Source organism: Homo sapiens, chromosome 3, assembly GCF_000001405.40.
Source record: "Homo sapiens chromosome 3, GRCh38.p14 Primary Assembly".
Taxonomy (NCBI): Eukaryota; Metazoa; Chordata; class Mammalia; order Primates; family Hominidae; genus Homo; species Homo sapiens.
Window position 1 is genome coordinate 65,161,627 of NC_000003.12, and position 20,512 is coordinate 65,182,138.

Genomic DNA, 20,512 nt, shown 5'->3' on the forward strand with positions numbered 1-20,512 from the left:
TTCCGAAAAGAGCAATCAAAGATAGAACTTGAGCCAGTAGAAAATGCACTTAATAAGAATTGGGCATTGATGGAGTAGTTGTCAATTCTAAAAAACAAAGAAAAATTAATTTGCCAATTTAAAGTACTTGAAATATTTTTAAGTGATGCAGCACATTCTTTATAAGTTTCTTTTCTATTTGCTTACTATCAATTAAGATCCAAATAGTATTGGAAGTAATGTCCTTAGAATACTAAGCATGCAAATCCATTATTACGTTTCTTCATGATACTCACTAGTGAGAGTGAGAAGGGGAGATTCCCTGTTTTTACTACTTTTTCTACGCCCAAAGGATGTCAACATAGCTGTGCTACCAAAGTGAGGCATGTTGTGGCAACTTCCAGAGATGAAGCAAGGTGCTGAGAAAAATTAAACTCTTTCATGCTTGCCCTAAAAACTTAACCCTTTAGTGTGATGTCAATATCTCAGGGATTCCCTCTAATTCACTGGAGGAAGAAAAAGTCTCACCAATATTATCAATAACATACATTATGCAGTATGGATTTTGTAGGGGCTAAGTTTTTTTTTTCTTGATAGCCCTTTCTATCCAACTTTCAAGGTTAAATCTAAAAATGTGTGTAAAGTGCTATATGAAATAGCAACGTTTCAATATAATTCTTATATTTCAGGATGTGTTACAGAGCAGCTGATGGCCCCCAGGGAATCTATCCTTATCACTTCCAAAATTGATTGGTGCTGTTAGCAGAAGGTAGCAGAAGTTATTTTCCTTCAGATATCTCCAAAGCACAGCACTTGCTCCTTCTATATTTATAACTTAGGCACCCTAATCAACAGCTGCTTCAATGTGATGGGAGCAAACCAAGATTCTCAGCTTAGATATGGGCAAGCTTTGAGACAGAATAAAAGCATACTATGTTCCTTTCCTTGATTCAGCTAATTGCTGAATGACATTTTAATAAGCATCTGAGGTAAGACAAACCTGCCATTTATATTAAGATCAGCTTTGAGCTGTAGACAAGAATTTGGACTATAGAATTCAGCAGGAACACCCAGATACCAAAGCTGCACAAAATGACAAAAAAAAAAAAAAACTGATCCTTGCATATCTTTGAAGTCCATAACCAAGGGACAGGAAAATTTTATCTACTTCCTATAAGAAAAGGCAGTTTCCAAGGGTGGAGCAAGGATAATTTCATGCTGTTAAAATTCTAATTAGAAATTCCTATTTGAAGACTCTGGTAGTTCTTTGCCATCCTTTTTCTGGACTAACATTTTAGATGCTTGGGTTGTGATCTTCCAGCAAACCTTATTTCAAGATAGGCCCTTTCATCTTTCAAGTGGCTTCGGGGCATCCTTCTCAGTGCCAAGATCACAGTTATCTATTGCACAAATGAGGCCAAATGAGGATGCCACTTGGCCTTCCTTTCACAAACATCTTTCCTGCCCATGAAAAAGCAACAAAGCAGTGAATGGTTCAATGGCATCTGAAGCATATAAATTGTAAATTTCCCCACACAAGGAAATCAATAGGTATTTTCAAAAAGTCAAAGAGTTTCCTTCTATACTAACAAGCTGAATCCACTGGGGGAAAGAAGTGTTGGAAGATCCCACTTCTGTGTTGAGTATGTTGTTATAGTCCCCTGGCTTGTTTTCCTACACAAAGATTGAATTCTGAGAGAAGACAATTTTCCTGTAAAACAAGCAATGCAGTCCTTAGCCAATGTGACCTTGAACCAGTCCAAGCTTTATTGGCTTTAATCTCCTTATATACAAATGGGAATAATAACAGTATCTGCCCCCAACAGATTGTAATGAGGCCTGAGTTCCTGTAAAATGCCTACCCTACTGCCTGGCTCCTAGTCAATGCCCAGTAAATGGTATCTCTGAAGTTAACAAGGTCTATATTGATGTTGGTGGTGACTGATGATGATAAGCTGATACTGAATATTAGCTGATATTGAAATTTAGCTCAGAATCTCCCTATTCTTCCGATCATGCCCTTTCTACATCCCTAACAATGTTTGTTCCTCAGCACTCAGTTAACTCAGATCCCACCCCCAGATAGAAATAGAATGCCACAGCTTAATAAGTTTGAATGTCTGCAATTTAAAGAGGACTACAAGAAAACAATGAATAAAGTACTCCACAGGGTGAGTTTAGGTGCCAGAGCATTTCTCCAGAGCAACTTTTTATGGGTAGCCAGGGAGGAAGAAATGAATGAGACCAAGTTAAAGTAGAAGAAACAGAGCTCAATTCAAAGCCCACCTGGATAGATGGTTTTGTGAGGTTGATTCCTGGATATCACTACAATGAACACCTTTGTTGGAAGAGCTGAGCCATGGAGACTTTTGCTAATGTTGGTTGATTAGATTATTACACAAAGCAGCATAGAAGGCAGCCTTCCCTCCTGCCCCTTTGCCCTCCTCCTCTTAATTTTGTAGATTGATTTGACCACTCATCAGTTAATTAAGATATTTATTCCCTGCACTAGGGTTACCCTACTTATCAGATGATAATAAAACTCATTTGAAAACTAAAGAGAAACATTTAATTCCAAGTCATATACAAAAGCGCATTTATAGATAGATATCTTGAGGAAAAGCAAGATCTGAACTTCTAAAATTTAAATTCCAAGGTTTGAGGGCAGGAGGGGTTATTTTTACTGTATTTCAAAGATGCAGGCATTCATGATTAAAATTTTTTTTTCTGATACATTAAAGAGGATTGATCTGGTAGAGGAATAATCATACAGAAGTTGAAGTCTAAAGTTCTGAATTCAAAGTCTGACTCTAATGAGCTCTGTTACCAGAGAAAGTCATTTAATTTCTCCATGCTCCGTTCTCTCACTTGTAAAATGAAAGTGCTTGATAGCCTATTTTCTTTTGTGCATGTACATTTTACAATCGTTATACATGTTCATCATTTTTTTAACACATGGGTATGTCAAGATAACAGCAAAGTTCTCCCTACTCATTACCCAACAGTCTCACTACTCAGAGGTAACTATAGTTAACTGTTTGTATACATTCATATATGTGAAGACATGAAGACATATATTTTACAGAAAAAATGATTCCACTATGTCAAACGTTGTGCAATTGCTTTTTTATTCCTAATAATATTTTCCTAAGCCTCATTTTAAGTGAGTTCAGGTAAATCTACTTTAAATACTACATAACATTACATTATGTCATGGTTTATTTAACTTTTCATTGATTTACAAATTTAGGTTATTTCTGTTTTCGTTTTTTAGCTGATGCAAATAAAGCAGCAATGAATTTTCTTGGGCAACTATCATGTGCACTTAGGCTCATATACCAGTTGACTGGATATCATAGAATGCTTCTGAGAAATTGATTTTTTTTTCTCTCCTAGACCATGGTTTTTGGTCTAAAAATGTGTATAGAAAGCTTCAGCAAGTGACTCAGAACACCATCTCTCTTGTCCTCTCTTTCTCTCTCTCTCAAAAAAACATGCAAATATGACATTATGACATTTTACTGCAAACCTGACAGAAACCCACATGAAAGCCTGCATAAGGGTTTTCAGAAAGTTTTATTTAATATTGTCAATAATGGCATACAGTTTAAACTGCCAAATCCCTCAGAACTTTAGAGAAATATTTAGAAATTGATGAATGTTAATAACAACAATGTAATGACATAGTCGGGGGTTGGGGGGGAGATGATAATTTGTTAAAGAAAAACATGCAGAGCTCAGCTGAGAAGAAAAATCCCCTTTTCTGACTGACACAACTGAGCAAAGAGAATCATTCAACTTCAAAGCCAAAACAAAAAAACTTAACTACTTACCATAATTTGGGAGTAAAGATTGACAGTTTGCAGCAAAAGTTAATCTCCTGATTCATGTTGAAGGCATTGACTCAATAGAGTACCATCATTTATAGTATTGCCTATGAGTTAATAAAATTTGCTATTGGAGAGTTTACAACTTCCTCTGTTTAAGAACAAAGGTTCCTTAAAAAAAAAAGAAGATGTAATTTTACTTATGCCTCTTTCAACTCAAACACTGCACAAGCGAACAACATATGGTAATTCAAACCAATAAAAGTTACTACAAAGAAAAGAATATGATGGATGGCCTGTTCACCTGTTTCTGAAGGTAGAGTATCATCAAGTTGGAGAAAAGGAAGTCAGGTAGAAATGGCATGACCACCATCTTATTTTCTTCCATCACTGCATTTATCCAACAATGCCCATTTACCGTACATGCACTTAATTTTTATTGTAACCATCCATATTCATCTCAGAGTGAGATGTATTTCCTAGGTGTGAGGGAAGATTTCCAAATTAATAAGTTATTTCTGCATCAAAATTCTCTGAAAGGATTATGAAGAGTGTGATGAGAAAAATCACACTTTCAACCCTAGTCTGAAACAGCACAATATATACTTTTGTTTTTTTTAAAGAAACTTCTTGTAAGGGGCCAAAACAATTAAAGAAACCATTCTGGGATGGTCAACTAGTCACCCCAAGCAGTTTCTTCTTTCTTTATAGCTGCATCTTTGAGACAGTTGTAGAATATGACAAATTAAAAGAGACCAGGGCTGATAGTTTCACAAAAATTACAGTTTCATAAAAATTATTAATGTAATTTTGAAATTATTTACATTAATGAACTCCAAAGGAAATCCTGAGTCTATAATAAGGACATATAACAAAAAAACTGAAAATGAAATTTTCACAATCTCATAATATTCAATCCTTACTTTCTCAGTATTATTACAGATATCCTACAGGTTTCTAAGATTTTCAGTGTTTCAGAACTATTCCTGTTAGTGTGAAATTTCCAACATACAGAAAAGCTGTATTTTTTATAAATCTTACAGAAATGCTTATCTTAGGCAAAAATGTTTCACTTAGAAATACGTCATTAAAGGATTTTGGATTCTACATAGTGGCTACTTTAGAGGGAACTCTACTCTGGATATTTTCTGTTGTTATCTGCCTGACTTTCATTCACTTGTCTTTTGCATCCTGAGGAACTGCCCCTTCCATAATCTCAGTAGGATGGTGTTTGTCATTTCCACAGCACCACATGTGGTCAGGTGATCCAAGCCTGATCAATTACAGCATCACATCCCTGGAGCCATAGTGATTAGTTTAGAGGTGAACAAAGGAGCTCAGTCAAGGCTGATTGTAGCCAATGAGTCAATGTATTCAATGCCAGGGCTCTAACTTGAAAGAGAGATGCTCTGTTTCCATGTGTACTGCTTTTAATTCATGGATATCCATTTTCACTCACTTTTAGTTTTTGTTTTGTTTTGCTTTAATCATTTCTACTCCCTCTCTTCAGGTTGTTGTTTTTTTTTTTTTTTTTCTAACTCTGGCCAACTTTTTCCATGTCTTATTCTTTTGGAACTGCAGTATCCCAGGAACCACCCAGAGAACAGAAAAACATTTTTTGCTTCAGAAGGATTAGGATCTAGGCACCATGTGGAATTCAGTTGAAGAGTTTCTTACATGTTCTTTACAAAAACAACAAAACAGAAAATAATAAATGAAACAACTACCATCAAAAGGCAGCTGACCCAGCACTTCTTTTCCTTTTTTCTTGAAGTTTGGCTGGGCAGCCTGCAAAACAAAGAAACGTATTGGCGATATGAGGTTCATATGTCAGAACTCTTTATCTTGAGTGGGGCTGAAAACTTAACTTGAATTGACTTGAGAGAGAGAAGATATTTTCTCCTCTATCAGAAACGTTCAGGGTAGATGTTGGCTTAGGGCACAAATGAATTCAGGATCCAAATGATGTCATTGGACTCATTTTTACTCCTTATCTCCACTCTGTCTTCCTCTGTTGATTTTATGGTCAGGACCTGAGACGTTAAAGCTTGTAGTGACACCTGAAAAATCAAGGCTCAAGTACTTTTTATAGCTGGGGGAAGAGGAAGCATAAGCAAGATTTTCATTGTGCCTCATTGGATTTGACTGAACCCATTCATTCGTTCATTCATTCATTCATTCATCTACTCCTGTTTCTCTCTAAGCAGTTACTTTCTGATTAAAAACACATCAATGACCACAGCATCCCTAAGATGGTGACTTCCGATCACAAGTCTATGTGACTTTCCAACTCATCTCTCCAAAGGAAACTAATTCAAACTCACGCTAATTTCAAAATCCATGGCGAGAGATTCTGAAAGAAGTCATTTTTTGTCTACCCCTAGTCCAATCAGAGGAGCTGTGAAGATTGCCACTTTGGGGCATTAAGGCAGGGTCTCTGAGAAAGCAGAGAGACAGAAGAGGAAACAGTCCCAGCATAACACAGTCCCCACCATAATACAAACAGATCTCAAAATTCTTTAGGGTCTTTCTGTTATGCCAACCTATTCACTCATGTGATACAGAAATGGAGACAACATTGGATAACTCTCCACATTCAGGCTAGGCAGAATTCCCAATCCCAGCCTTCTCCATGTGCTCCCAAAGTGCAAGCTTCACCCCAGACCAGTGAAGTACGATGAGTAAACCTCAAGGAATAACATAAATGCCTATAAGCAACTCCAGCTTAATTTCTAACTTGTACCAAATATGCCAGATACAATGAGTTCAAATCCTGGCTCCATTAATTAGCTATGTTGCCTTGGGCAAGTCACTAAACTTCTCTTTGCCACATTTTCTTTAACTGTAAAATGTAACCCTCACGATTTTTGTGTAAACCTCATGATATCCCTCCTTCATAAAATTCTGTGTATCATGATTTTCCACAGTGGGACTATTTGGTAGTATTCTCTTATACTTAAACCCCTGTTAACACTTGTAAGTTTTCTATTACCTACCCACCCCTAAATGATGACAAGGCAAAGTCAGAGAGCGTCAGTGTGGAAATATAAATCTGACTTCTCAACCCAGCCCTGAGCCCAGACATAGTGTTGCTTTGAAAAGGCACTAAACTTGGGCCCCCAGATTGTCACCTATAAAATGAGGGAATTGGAGTGATTGTTTCTGTTTCCTTCCGGCCTTATTCTAAGAATACCCGTTAAGTGTAACAATTATTTTAAGACTGAACTTATGGTAACTTAAATGTTACCGTCATGGAAAATTAAGATGCCTTTGTTAAACAAGGGAAGTACCAGTGTGCTGTCAAATATGGAATTCTCTTGTATAAATGTGACTGGAGAAAAAAAATGTGAGAGAGCAACCTCTGAGCAAGGCTTCTGATAGTCTCTGAGGTAATATCCTGAGAGGATATGGCTTCTTATTAAGAGATCCCGGCCCAGCACAGCAGAAGGAGGAAGAAGCAGCAAAATGTTTTCCCCTGTGATATGTTGCTGGTCTTTCACAGATCTGTATTGTTTTTCCTCCCTTGTTTCCATTTATTGGTTAACTACTAATATTAATAGTTTTCTTAGCCTTGTAGTAACCCCCATTTGTGATTTAGAAAACAGATTCCAAAGGCAATCCTTGTTTCACTGGAAGTTGAGATTTTGGCTTGCTGTACCTCGTGGCCTTCTGGGTTCTGACGGAGGCTTAACCTGAGAAGAATATTATGTCTGGTTAAGGAACAGAGCAGTCCCTGAGCTGCCACAACTATAGATCCTTGGTATGCCAGGAAATATACTTTTGTTCCAGGATCCTTTTCAAGTCACTACCCAGGCCTCTCCAAAGAAGCAAATGCCATTCTGTCTTGATTTTCATCCTGACATGGGCTTGGGCACAAATACATTGTCCAGCAGCATCAAACACTGTTCTGCAGAGGCTTCATCCTCAAACCATCCTATCAAAGAAATAACTGCAGGATACTCAGCCTCACGGTAGAACTCATTGTGACTACAAACCCTGTTTTATATACCTAATCACATTGTCCATAGAAAAAGCAGGAAGCCAGCCAGGTGAGGTGGCTCACGCCTATAATCCCAGCACTTTGGGAGGCCGAGGCGGGCAGATGACAAGGTCAGGAGTTCAAGACCAGCCTGGCCAACATGGTAAAACCCTGTCTCTACTAAAAGTACAAAAATTAGATGTGCGTGGTGGCAGGCGCCTGTAATCCCAGTTACTCGGGAGGCTGAGGCAGGAGAATTGCTTGAACCCAGGAGGTGGAGATTGCAGTGAGCCAAGATGGTGCCACTGCACTCTAGCCTGGGTGACAGAGCAAGACTCTGTCTCGGAAAAAAAAAAAAAAAAGCAGGAAGCCAATCAGAGAAGCAAAATTATTTCCTTCGTTTTGTTCTGTGTGAGATAGGGTCTCGTTCTATTGCCCAGGCTGGAGTGCAGTTCTGCAATCATAGCTCACTGAAGCCTTGAACTCCTGGCCTCTCACATGATCCTCTCTCCTCGGCCTCCCAAAGCACTGGGATTACAGGCATGAGCCACCACACCTGGCCATAATTCATAGATAGATATGAATGGGTATGATATTTCACACTTGAGAGAAATAAGGGAGGTGGGAAAAAATCATTCTTTGAACAATTGCTACTTGTCAAGCTTTAAATGCATTGTAAAATTAAATCCAAATAAGAACTCTGGGTGTGGCAAGGCAGTCTACTTCCATATTACAGAGCTATGAGGCAATTTGCTCGAGGCCACTCAGCTAGTAACAGCTGAGCTGGGATCCGAACCCAAGTCTGTTTTTCTCACCACTTCAACCACCAAATGCCCATATATCACTTGAAATAACTGGGGGAATTCATTTTCTAATTTAGATTCATATTGATGCATATTATATGATGTTTCTTATCTTGTGAACAAGGCTTATTTCTATAGCGTTTTCTTAACATCCCAGAAAGTAAAATTTTTCTCCAAAAGAGACTCTGAGAATTTTAATATTTTGCTTACTCAAAAAGGCAGATTACATTCTGCATTCAAAACAAAATAGCTCCCCCTACAGTTTTTGCTCTATTCTCATCCTCGGCTTTGGCAAACAACACAGAGAACCCCTAGGTCAGATACCAGAAGGCAGAGCTGTGCACTTGCCCCTTATTGATGGGAATAATTATTGGTCCATCTGCTTAGAGAGGATCAGCGTTGCTACTCAGGACAAGGAGGCAGCCCTTTAACATTTCCTCACTTTCTTAAGTGTCGGCAACAATTAGCAGAATAACTCTGTAGTTGCTAAGAGTCTCGTGTTGATTTTGACAGGCTCCAGGCTGGAGTAAAAATGTGCTTTCTGGAGGCCAAATTCCCTTCCAACTTCCAGTGCATAGCTGGCAAAGGCAGACACTGTCAGCTATTCAAGTGCCGAGATTCCTCTGTGATGTCATGAGTCCCAGCTTGGCCCAGAGCCCACTGCCTCCCGGTAACTGGTTGGAAACTTGCAAAGCTGTGCGTCAGCATCACGTTAGGAACATGGCACCTACGTGCTCTCCCATGGGTCTGCAACGAGGGAACACCACTGATGATGCAAGGACTGCTGGGAACTTCACTATAGTTCTGGGTGCTCAGTGGCCCTGGGGACGTCAATAATTTGAACTGGCCTAACGTCATTTACTCTCACTATCCCTTAGAAAAATCAGCTGTCTCTGCCTCTTTTGGATTTGGTTCTTTCTCCTAGGTAATTTCCCAAGGAATTTTTAGGTGGAGGGAGGTGGAAGACCCTTCATGTAGTCCATGCAAGACCTACCTAAGTGGACAAATGAAGGAAGATGGATAATAATCAGCCACCTATTGATAATGTTAAGAAAAATTAAATTAGCAAATGGAGCTAGAAAGTACCCTGAAAACTTTAAAGGATATAGAAATAATAATTAACATGTGATGAGCTCTTAACATGGGCTAACGACTGTGTTAACAACTTTACATGTAATATTTCTTTTAATCCTCAAACCAGGCTTATAAAGTTCATTCTATTAATAGACCCATTTTGCAGAAGAGAAAACTGAGTTGGAGAAGTTAAATATTAAAAAGATGTCAAATTGCACAGCAGAAAATTAACTCTATATCTGTATGACTCTAAAGCTCATGTTCTTAACACTGGATAGCACTGCTTCCCCAAAACAGAAGTGCAAGTTAAGTAGCAATTTATAGTGGAAAGTATAATCAGATACTAGGAATGATACTCAGATCCTGAGAAAACTGAGATTTTAAAACATGAGCATGCTTTCTCAGTAAAGTTGCCCTTTGCACCCGTAAAGTGCCTCTTACCTCGATGACTGAACATGACAATTAGTGTGTATAGAATGATTTGTGACTTTTTAAGAATTTCCATATGTGCCATTTTATTGAATCCTCCCAGTAATCCTATAAGAAACACAGGGCAGGAATGTCTACTTTCTAGATAAAGCAACTGAGGAAGTTAAGTGACATGGCCAAGGTCCCATAATTTAAAAAGAGGAATCTACTGATTCTCAGTTCATAGCTTTTTCTACTTCCCTGAGATGCCTGACTTGGGAACAAATGGTAACTTCAATTCTTCCACCTCTTCCCTACAGCAAACCTAGCCCTTGGTATCTGCCTTTCTCCATCTTCTCTAAAGAGATAACAATCCTGTCACCCACAAACTTCTGTGCATCCAAGGACAGGGTTTAATAAATAACTTATTTGCGCCCTAATCCTCCCTGCCTGTCAATATTTGCTGAATGGCTTCTTTAGAAACCGCCCCAAGTTTTCTTGACCAGCTGAAAGTGATGAGCAATGGAGATAATTTACAAGGCAGGAGGAATGAATGAGAGTTTGGCGGACTAGACATTTGGGGATGATATTGTCTAAATTGGTTAATTTCTTTTAATCAAGTGGCTTAGTTCAAGCCATCATTAGCTCTCCCATGTCAATGGTATAAGTGGAATGACCTCCTAAAAGGTCCTGCTGCACCCGGCCAACCATTTGGATCTGTTTTTTAAAGTGAAGCCAATTTAATCTTACAAAAAATGTAAGTTCCTCTTGGCTTTAAGCCTTTCAAATGCTTCCCAAGGCCTTTAGGATTAAAATAACAAATCCTTATAATAACATATGACCCCGGCTTACTTGTCCAACCTCTGCTCGGGTCACTCCCCAACATGCCGCATTTCCCCTCTCAGTCTGCACCCTCATCTCTTTACCCAATGTATGAGAATTCCCTTCACAACTTCCCTGACAATAGTCCTCCAACCTAGGCTTGAACATGCCCAGGAATAGCCTGGCAGAATAGCCGTTCTCTTGACAAGCACATCAAATTATCATTCCCTAGCTGAGTCCCAATCAGCTCCTTTATAACTTGGGATCAGAAGTCATGGAGATTTGGGTCCATGCACACTGGCTGTGTGAGTCAATGTCAAAGCCTCAGTTTCCTCATCTGAGAAATGGGTAACCTGATGAAGTTGTAGCAATTAAGTGAGAACAGGTGCAGAGTACTCCTAACAGTGCCCTAAATGTAGTAAGTGTTCAGTAAGTATTAGCCATCATCATCATCATCACTTTCACCACATGCCTTTCCATTCACTTGGCTACACATCCTGAGTTTCTTCAACAAATGCAGAATAGCATTAACTATTTAAAAATCAGTTAACATTTAATAGTCCCCCCAGGACATATAGCCTAATGCCCTTTTATCTAGGGAGAAGTCTTGGATTATCATAAGAAGTTCCCTAGCTCTGCTGCCAAGTTATGGGGGTTTACTGACTAGGACCACAAGTTGATTGCCACATCTCCTCCCACCAAACCAGGCCCACACCTAATGCCCATGTACACACACCAAAGAATAAGTGAATTTCCCAGTTCAGTTACTTTTAGAGTTGGACTTCTAATCCAGCTTGAGTCTATACTACATCAACACTATAGGAATAGAAGAGGAGGAGGAGACAGTCTAAGACCCAGGACAGTTGCAAAAGGATTTTTTGTTTAACAAAAAAGAAAATAATGGCCGGGTGCGGTGGCTCATGCCTGTAATCCCAGCACTTTGGGAGGCCGAGGCATGCAGATCACAAGGTCAGGAGATTGAGACCATCCTGGCTAACATAGTGAAACCCCATCTCTATTAAAAAATGCAAGAGATTGGCCAGATGTGGTGGCGGGTGCCTGTGGTCCCAGCTGCTCTGGAGGCTGAGGCAGGAGAATGGCATGAACCCGGTAGGCAGAGTTTGCAGTGAACCAAGATCACACCACTGCACTCCAGCCTGGGCAACAGAGCGAGACTCCTTCTCAAAATAAAAAAAAAAAAAGAAAAGAAAAAAATACATAAATAACAAGAAAAAGAAAACATATAGTGCTCTTATTTGCATTTTTGGTTCACAGTGAAAAATCAATACGGTGTCTGTCTTTTCTTTCAAGAACTCCAATGCTTCCTACTTCAAAGCGTATCATCTAAGTTATTGCCTTTCATAAAGACACAAAAATGAGACATTAATTTGTGCAGCATGAATTGAATTTCTGAAGGAAATACATGGGGAGTGTGTTTGAGGAGAAACTATAGAGGCCAATGTAGTAAAACACGCCTCCCTGCATTGGTGTTATGAATCATCACACTCAGCCAATGTGGGTAGACTGTGCCTCATTTCATCATGTCTGTAGACCATGCCAGATGACCTTAAAGAAGCATCACATGTTTCTTTGCATATACAGCCTCATCTAACCATAAAGAAATAATTAAAACAAGCAACAAATAAAAATTGTGGACATGTATTTTTTAACTGAAATGTAGCATAGCAACTACAGCAATGAAACAGATAAGAGAGAAAACAGATCAATATTTATAGCATAAATTTTGGTAACACAAAACCAAACTACCATTCAAGGAACCCAACTCTTCTTGCCACATCACCCCAGGAAGGCAGCCAACTCAAGGCAAAAGAGGACATTAATTTCTCAGTTCTCACCCCTATATGATTCCCACTCCCTCTTTATACCATGAGGACCTGCTCTAAGCAAATAGGGCTCATGGGAAGTTGACAGCAACACCTTCTCACCCCATCAGCGTGGCCTTTCTTCCTCATTGCAGCCACTGACAGCTTTCTGTCCTCCAGGCACTCAGAACATTGATTCACCCGGACTCCTTTGGTTACAAGTGTCAGAAACTAAACTTACTGAGTTAAGCCAAACTGGAATGATGGGTTCAAATAGCAGGGAAGTCCAGGAGTAAGCTGGCCCCAGGAAGCCCAGTGACTTAGACAATGTGATTACATTTTACCATCTCCCTCCATCTCCAAGCTCAGGTTCTACATGTTGTCTTCTTCCTTTTCTATAGATTGGCTTCTTCCTCGTGGCCAGGTTGAATGAGGAAATGGTAAAAGAGGTGTGGATGCAGACAACTCTGGGCTTTCATTTCCTGCTTAGTAACACCAGAGCTTCTCTATTCCATTATCTCTCTCTATGAAACTGCAGGGAAGGACTCTGATTGGCCTAAATTGGGTCATGTGCTCATCCCTGTGGCCATGGAAACCAGTTACTATGATTGGCCAGGCCTACTTTTTATGTCCATTCCTACGGCTGCAGGGCCATGTCCTGTGATTGGCAGCTCCTCAGAACCACATGGAGTGGAAGAGCTGTTCCTAGAAATAGGGTGCTTGTTATTCTGAGAGGTAAGTAGAAAAGACAAAAAAATGACAGTTATTTACCATATCATCCCATTCTGTCTTTATTACCAGAATACACACATCCTCTGACCCTCTTTCACTTTAACCCATGACCTCTGCTTCCCATTAAATATTTTCTGGAATAATTCTTATAAACATAGACCTTTTAAATCCTGCCTTAAAATCCCACTTGATCTCATTTTCACATTTAAAGAAATCCATCCTAGAAGTCATAAGTAAATAAAAAACACTTTGTGTTTACTACAGTTTGGTTTTAAAAAAAACTTCAGAATTACTTTTGTAGAACTCAAAAAAACATTCAATTACCAACCATTCCTCCTTTCGAAAGTTCCAAGATGCACAAAGGCTGCTCTCAAGGCCACTCACCTGCCTGCTCAGATACTGACACCCGCCCCCTCCAAACAGTCCCACTTTTAATTTCCCCTTAAATAGTTCTATTTATTTTCTCCTACCATTTACTCTTTGACCTTTCTAGAGTAATGAGCTAGAATTTCCAGACCTCACCACTTACAGTGATTGTAATAATAAAAACCAAGAAGTTGGTGATCAAGCCAGCGACCTATTAGGTGGAGCAGGAGAAATGGTGGGCCAGGCAGGCAAAGTCAGGTTTTTCATAGCAGGTGAGGGAGGGAGGGGTCTGTGCATACTCACATGCTGATGTATTTTCCCTGCAATCTCCCTATTCACTTAAAGTTCAGAGAGTTGGCAAAAGCCACTTATTTCACAAACTCATTCACAACAAGGCAGGGTTACCAAAGCACAGATGCTACACAGTGAAATAGCTTTGTAGTCAAATAAATCTGGGAAAGGCTTCCCATCATATCCCTCGATTTGAGGTTTATAGTGTACCTGAAAGACTGACAATTTTTACAGTGAAGGCAGATGTTTCTCTTGTTTTACCTGTCATTCCAAAAACACACTTGTGAATAGAACTCTTCACAATAACACCCATTAAAAGTCTTAGGAATATACTTCAAGAATTGTACCACCAAGAGATTTGTGGCTACTAATACCATCTCCGGGAGAATTTTTGCTTTTTTCAGAAGGCTGGCTCAAACGTCAGAACTCTACTGATGGAGATGTTGGGCAAGCAGCCAGCCTGTGGTAGGTACTGGGAAAGAGAACCTTTTGATATCTCGTCTTCTGCGGCCTCTATTTGGTTTGGACTTGCTCTCCATACACCACTGCTGAGTTTCTGAGCACTATACATTGGAGAATAATCATTTTGGTTCCACTGAAAGGCCTCTCTTTTCATCAAACTAGTGTAGCCCTTTTACATCTCTCATTGCTCCAGGGAGCTATGAGCAGTTTTCCTACCAAAGGCACCAGGTGCTGTCTGTGTTTCTGGGACCTTCTCCAGTGCCTGTCTCTGTTGGTCCCCTTGAATGTGCTGCCTCCATTTTGCTACTTGTAATTGAGAACCATGGGCTTCAGGCTGGGTTTCCATCTCCCTGCCTTGCCCCATTAGACTTGATGTTATATTCCGGAGTTTCAGTCCCAACCCAAAACCTACTCTCATATGCCTAAACTACAGGTCAACCTCACCCTATTAAATTCAGCTCAGGGTTGAGCTTTTAACCCACCACTTGCCTGCAAGAGAAAAATAGAAGTTCCTTTCCTTCTATTTACATTATTTCTGAAATTTCTGAAATAGAAGGAAATAATTTACATTATAAATAATTACATTAGATTATTTCTGAAATCTACATTTCAGAAAATTTTAGCTCTTTGGTCAAACTTGGTGCTTTCTACTTGCATTACTGTTATGTGTATGAATGACCTAAGTCCCTGCCCCACTGCCACACATCTCAAGCTTCTTCAAGACAAAACAAAAATCTATATCTGTTTTTCTCCTTATCTCCCTAATACCTGGGTAACGTCTTTTGCAGGTAGTAAGCACTTAACAAATGCCTATTAACTGAATCAATAAGAGAATATATAATCTTATATAGCATGTGGATGCTTTGGAGGACTAACAGAAAAGACAAAATATTTATAAATTTAACATATTAAATCCTGTTAATTTCGAATTTCCTAAGCCAAAAGTGTATTAGTCCGTTCTCACACTGCTATAAAGAACTGCCCGAGACTGAGTAATTTATAAAGAAAAGAAGTTTAACTGACTCACAGTCCCACATGGCTGAGGAAGCCCCAAGAAACACAATCATGATGGAAGGGGAAGCAAGGACCTTCTTCACATGGTGGCAGGAGAGAGAAGAGCCTGTGAGAGCTTCTCAGGAAAAACTACCATTTATAAAACCATCAGATCTCGTGAGAATCTACCCACTATCACGAGAACAGCATGAAAGCAACAGCCCCCATAATCCAATAACTTCCCACCAAGTCTCTTCCTCAACACCTGGAGATTACAAATTCAGGATAAGATTTCAGTGGGGGCACAAAGCCAAACCATATCAAAAAGCTATGTTGATTCCCATAGCATGGTGATTTTCCCTTCTTCCCCCTACCTTTGAGTATGTCTGGCATTGTCTGGAAATATATTTATTTATCAAAACTGGGGTTGGGGTGGGGAAGAACAGAGCTACTGGCATCCAGAGGGTTGAAGCCAGAAATGGTGCTAAACAACTTACAGTGCACAGGACAGAACCCCTGCCTCCAACAAAGAATTATATGTCCCCAAAGTCAATAGTGACACTACTAAGAAACCCCGCCACAAAGTCAAGAAAAAGCCCGCCTTTCCACTGCCCAATAACAAAAGCTTGCTAAAGAAATGAATAACCTAAAAAGATTGCAAGATAGAATTCAAGTTTTTTCAAATGCTTCAAGTCACCTGGTTTGCTTTCATCAAAGAATGGTCTTTATGATTATCATTATTCCACTGTAATCACCCAGAATGCTTTGCTTATGTTCTGTGCTGGACCAATTGGTAAATTGAATTGCTTAAATGCATTCCCTTCTTAGTGGTGCTTTTGTCTGTATTACAGGGCAGGAAGCAAATTTAATTCCGTAGTCATAGGACAAATATTTACCACAAACAATAGCATTTCAACAGTTTGAATCCTTAACTGCCAGAGTGGCTGCTATAAAAGGGATTGTAAGCACAAACACTCAGCTAGTATTTAAAGACCCAGTTGCTCATAAGCCAGACAGCACATGCACAAATTACCATTTGCTTCACTTGACAACTGCTGTTATCTTGACACATCCACTTAAAAATTATTTCTGACAAGAATCTTAACAGCTTTAAATCAGTCTAATTAAAGGTAATACATTTTTGCTAGAAAAGCATTTGAAATTATACAGTATTGCACAGTTCACTTTTCTAATCAAGTTACTGAGTGCATTAGTAAATGACAAAAACATCTCCACTGACATATGGTCTTCTATCGAAGGAAAACATTTCTAATACTTTATGGAAGTTTCTAACAGCAAGGCTGTAGGAGGCAAAAAATGCTTAGAGAGCTTTTCCGTAGTGAAGTAGCACCATGTCCTCGAATATTACTTTATGTAGATGTGGTCGGCAGCTCTGACAGGGCTCCTAGCGACCTCTGCCTCCTGGTACGCAGGCACCTGTGGAATCCCCTTCCTTTGTGCACAGAACCTACTGACTCAGTTTTAACAAACGGAACATAGCACAGGTGATGAGATGTCATTTCCATGATGTGGTTGCAGTCTTACCTGCATCTCGCTGGCTTTCTGTCTCTGTTGCTGGCAGTCTCTCTTACCCTCTTGCTTGCTTGCTGCCATGTTGTGAGTTGCCCGATGGAGATGCCCACGTGGCAAGAAACCAAGGGTGGTTTACAGCTTATGAGGAGCTGAAACTCACTCCAACAACCCACAAGGATTGGAAGCCTGCCAACAAACACATGAGTGTTCTTAGAAGCGAATCCTCCCCAGGCAAGCCTTGAGATGACTATAGCCCTGTGAGAGACCCAAAGCTAGAGGACCCAGCTATACGTGGCACCTGGTTTCCTGATCCACAGAATCTGTGAAATCGTAAATATGTAGTCATTTTAAGTTGCTACATTTTAGGGTAATTGGTTGTACAGCAATAGATAACTAATACAAGATATAACCCTGCTGCCCCAATCTTTATCTCTTTTGTTTTAATTCCTTCCTTACACAAAAGGCTCACCTCTCCTATTCTTTGATGCATCCTTTTCTTATCATTCCACCAGCTCTAAAACTGAACTCTGCATCTCCTTAACCACACACCAGTATTTCCTCCTGACATCTATATTTTTCAAAAGTTTGCTCCTTTACACTCTTTTCTTCTTCCCCAAAGCTCAAATGAATGGAATGAGAAATGCTACATTGGCCATCTGGATTCAGAGCATTGGTGTTATCATTAACTTCTCCACTTTCCACACTGACAATTCCACACACAGCCACAGTGCCCTCAACCTGTTCCTCCTCTCTCCACCAAGGCTCTCGCATCCCTTCTTCCTTATTGTTTCCTTATGTTGGAACAATTGTACTTGTCTAACAGGTTTCTTCTCCAATTCATTTCGTACATACAAAGCCAGATTATACCTCCTAATACACCACTTTTCTCATTTTACATGAAATTTTTGCCTAGAAACCTACAAAATGTTCATTCATGTTTAGAAAATCACCTTTGATTATGACATTCACTCTGACAGTGCACCTAGCATGCCAGTTTTTATCTCTTTTGTGTTCAGGGCCTTACGAAAACTTGACTCATAAGGTTCAGAATTTCTAAGTCTTAGAGCAAAGTAAAACACCATAGCCAATTTGATAAAATAAATCCATCAGGGCTGTTGTTGCAGGTCAGGTCAAGAAGTAGACTGTGAGATGGAGATTATTAGCATGAGAAAAGATTATTAGGGAGTTCTTCAAGATTGACAGTGGTGGGGAAAGGGAAGGCCAGAGGAAGAAGTTGGGAGACGATGCAATCACAGCAAAGGCCTCAGCCTTAGAACGTCATTCTTGTAGGTAAGAGCCTAAAACAGGAAACAATTCAAATCTCCATCAACAAAATAAACTGTAGTATACTGAGACAAGGAATACTATGCAGTAATAAAAAAAAAAGGGCTACCATTAAGCTCAACAACAAGGGTGACTTTCACAGACACAATATTAAGCAAAAGCATCAGACACAAAAGAATGTGTGATTCCATGTACCTGAAGTTCAAGAGCTAACAAAACTAATCTATGGTGATAGAAGTTATAACAGTGGTTTCCTCTTAGGGAAAAGGGGTTACTGACTGGGAAGGGTCATGAGGGAACCTTCTAGGGATAGGGTCTGAATATATTCTATATCTTGATCTTGGTTGTGGTTATATAGGTGTATATACATATGTAAGAATTTCTCAAATTCTACACTAATATTTGTATACTATAATATATACACATTATAGCTTTTTATCAAGGGAAACATAAGTGTTGGCCCAAACAAAACAACAATTACCTCAAACAGAAATGTATTCATCTTCCTTGGAAGATCAGCTAAAACCACAGCCAGTTTGGGGGATTCGGGGTTTTTTTTGTTTGTTTGTTTTTGTTTTGTTTTGTTTTGTTTTGTTTTTTGTTTTTTTGAGAGACAGGGTCTTGCTCTGTCACCCAGACTGGAGTACAGTGGTACAATCATGTCTCACTGTAGCCTGAACCTCCCAGGCTTAAGCAATCCTCCCTCTTCAGCCTCCTGACTAGCTGGGACCACAGGTTCACATCACCACATCCAGCTAACTTTTAAATATTTTGTAGACACAGAGTCTTCCTATGTTGCCCAAGCTGGTCTCAAGCTCCTGGCCTCAAGCGATCCTCCCACCTAGCCCTCGCAAAGTGCTGGGATTGCAGGTATGAGCCACCATGCCAGGCCAAAATTTTTAAATGTGCTGTGTTTCTTCCCAAATTTTGAAAATAAGTGTTCATAACTACATAGCTGTATGTGTACCTCTACCCATAAAATACAGAACGCATGCCAATAGGAAGAGAAGACACCAGCATGTTGACGCTAGTAATCTCTGGCCACTTTAATTGTAGGCAATTTTAATTTTTTTCTATTTGATTTTCTAAAATTAACATTATTATTATTTGTGTAAGAAAAAGAGTGATTTTTTTAAAAATGCATTATCATTCATTGAGGAATAAACTAAAAGAAAAATGCAGTGCTGAAAGTGACATTGTAAACACCGTAATCCCTGAGAGTGTGTGTTAAACATCAGAGTGAAAAAGGGTAACTTTCTCAGGACCAACATGAGAGTGGACAAGGGGTATAGAAGACCCATGGGGGAAAGGTACCATGCTAAAAACAAGCTGCAAATGACCCTGGCTGCAGTGACAATACATTTAAATGGGAATGTCCAGTTGGAAGGAACACAGCATAACTGCTGACAATCAGTTAGGAATTTCTGGCAAGACGCAGGCAAAGACAGAGGGGCTGTCCCAGTAACATGGCTGTGATTTCTTACAAGGCCAAAAAAGAGCCCAGTTCTCTGACAAAGACTAGCTCTTCCTGTAGTGGTAGCCGCCGATGCTGCCTGAAGGACAGGCTAGAAAGACACAAAGCAAGAAAGCCTCTCAGTTCCTTACAGTTACCAGAGTAACCGGGACATCAGCCATGTTGCCTGGGAATACCCAGAGTAAGCCACAGTGGCAGGTAAATAAAAAAGGGTGTGAATTTGTCAGATTCCAAAGTCTTCCAGCCACTCTGTTTCAGTGACTACTGAAATCATTTCACAATGATCAGACTACTCCCAGAGTCCCTCGTGGAGAAACATCACATTCTCTGCCAGTCCAACTCAGGAACATGAATCCCCAGGGGCAGCTGAAGGAACACAGACATTTCAACGAAGAGTTTTTATAATAAGAGGGAAAAGATTCTTTCTCTCCAAAGGAGTCTGAAAGCTCACAAAAAGAAAAAAATTTAATTTCTTTATCACGTAGTATAAGTAAAATGATAATTGAAACAATAATTTAAGGATTTATTTTTGAGGAAGGAACAGAGACATGCTAGTGGCTGTGAAAGATGCCATTTGCCATTGTGGAAGCAAAAATAGCTTTGTGATCAGAAACACTAGTACTGGCTGCATGACCGTGGACAATTTACCTCTGTATACATCA

The 20,512-nt window shown here is 39.6% G+C and overlaps 2 long non-coding RNA genes across 5 annotated transcripts in view; one reads left to right on the forward strand and one right to left on the reverse strand.

Annotated features, from left to right (window-relative positions):
• On the reverse strand, nt 1–17,353 carry LOC105377127 (uncharacterized). Of its 3 annotated transcripts, XR_001740735.2 has the most exons (5): nt 12,957–13,712; nt 5,534–5,866; nt 4,111–4,285; nt 3,813–3,977; nt 1–87 (listed from the first exon to the last, which is right to left on the reverse strand). It is a non-coding gene; the product is annotated as an uncharacterized LOC105377127 (long non-coding RNA). The 3 variants fall into 3 exon arrangements; XR_001740736.1 differs by lacking the exons at nt 5,534–5,866; nt 12,957–13,712 and adding an exon at nt 17,105–17,353; XR_940926.3 differs by lacking the exon at nt 5,534–5,866.
• LINC02040 (long intergenic non-protein coding RNA 2040) overlaps nt 13,313–20,512 on the forward strand; it is an 18,565-nt gene continuing 11,365 nt past the window's right edge. For both annotated transcript variants that reach the window (NR_183715.1, NR_183716.1), the window contains exon 1: nt 13,313–13,450. This is a non-coding gene — a long non-coding RNA (long intergenic non-protein coding RNA 2040). The remainder of the gene's footprint in view (nt 13,451–20,512) is intronic.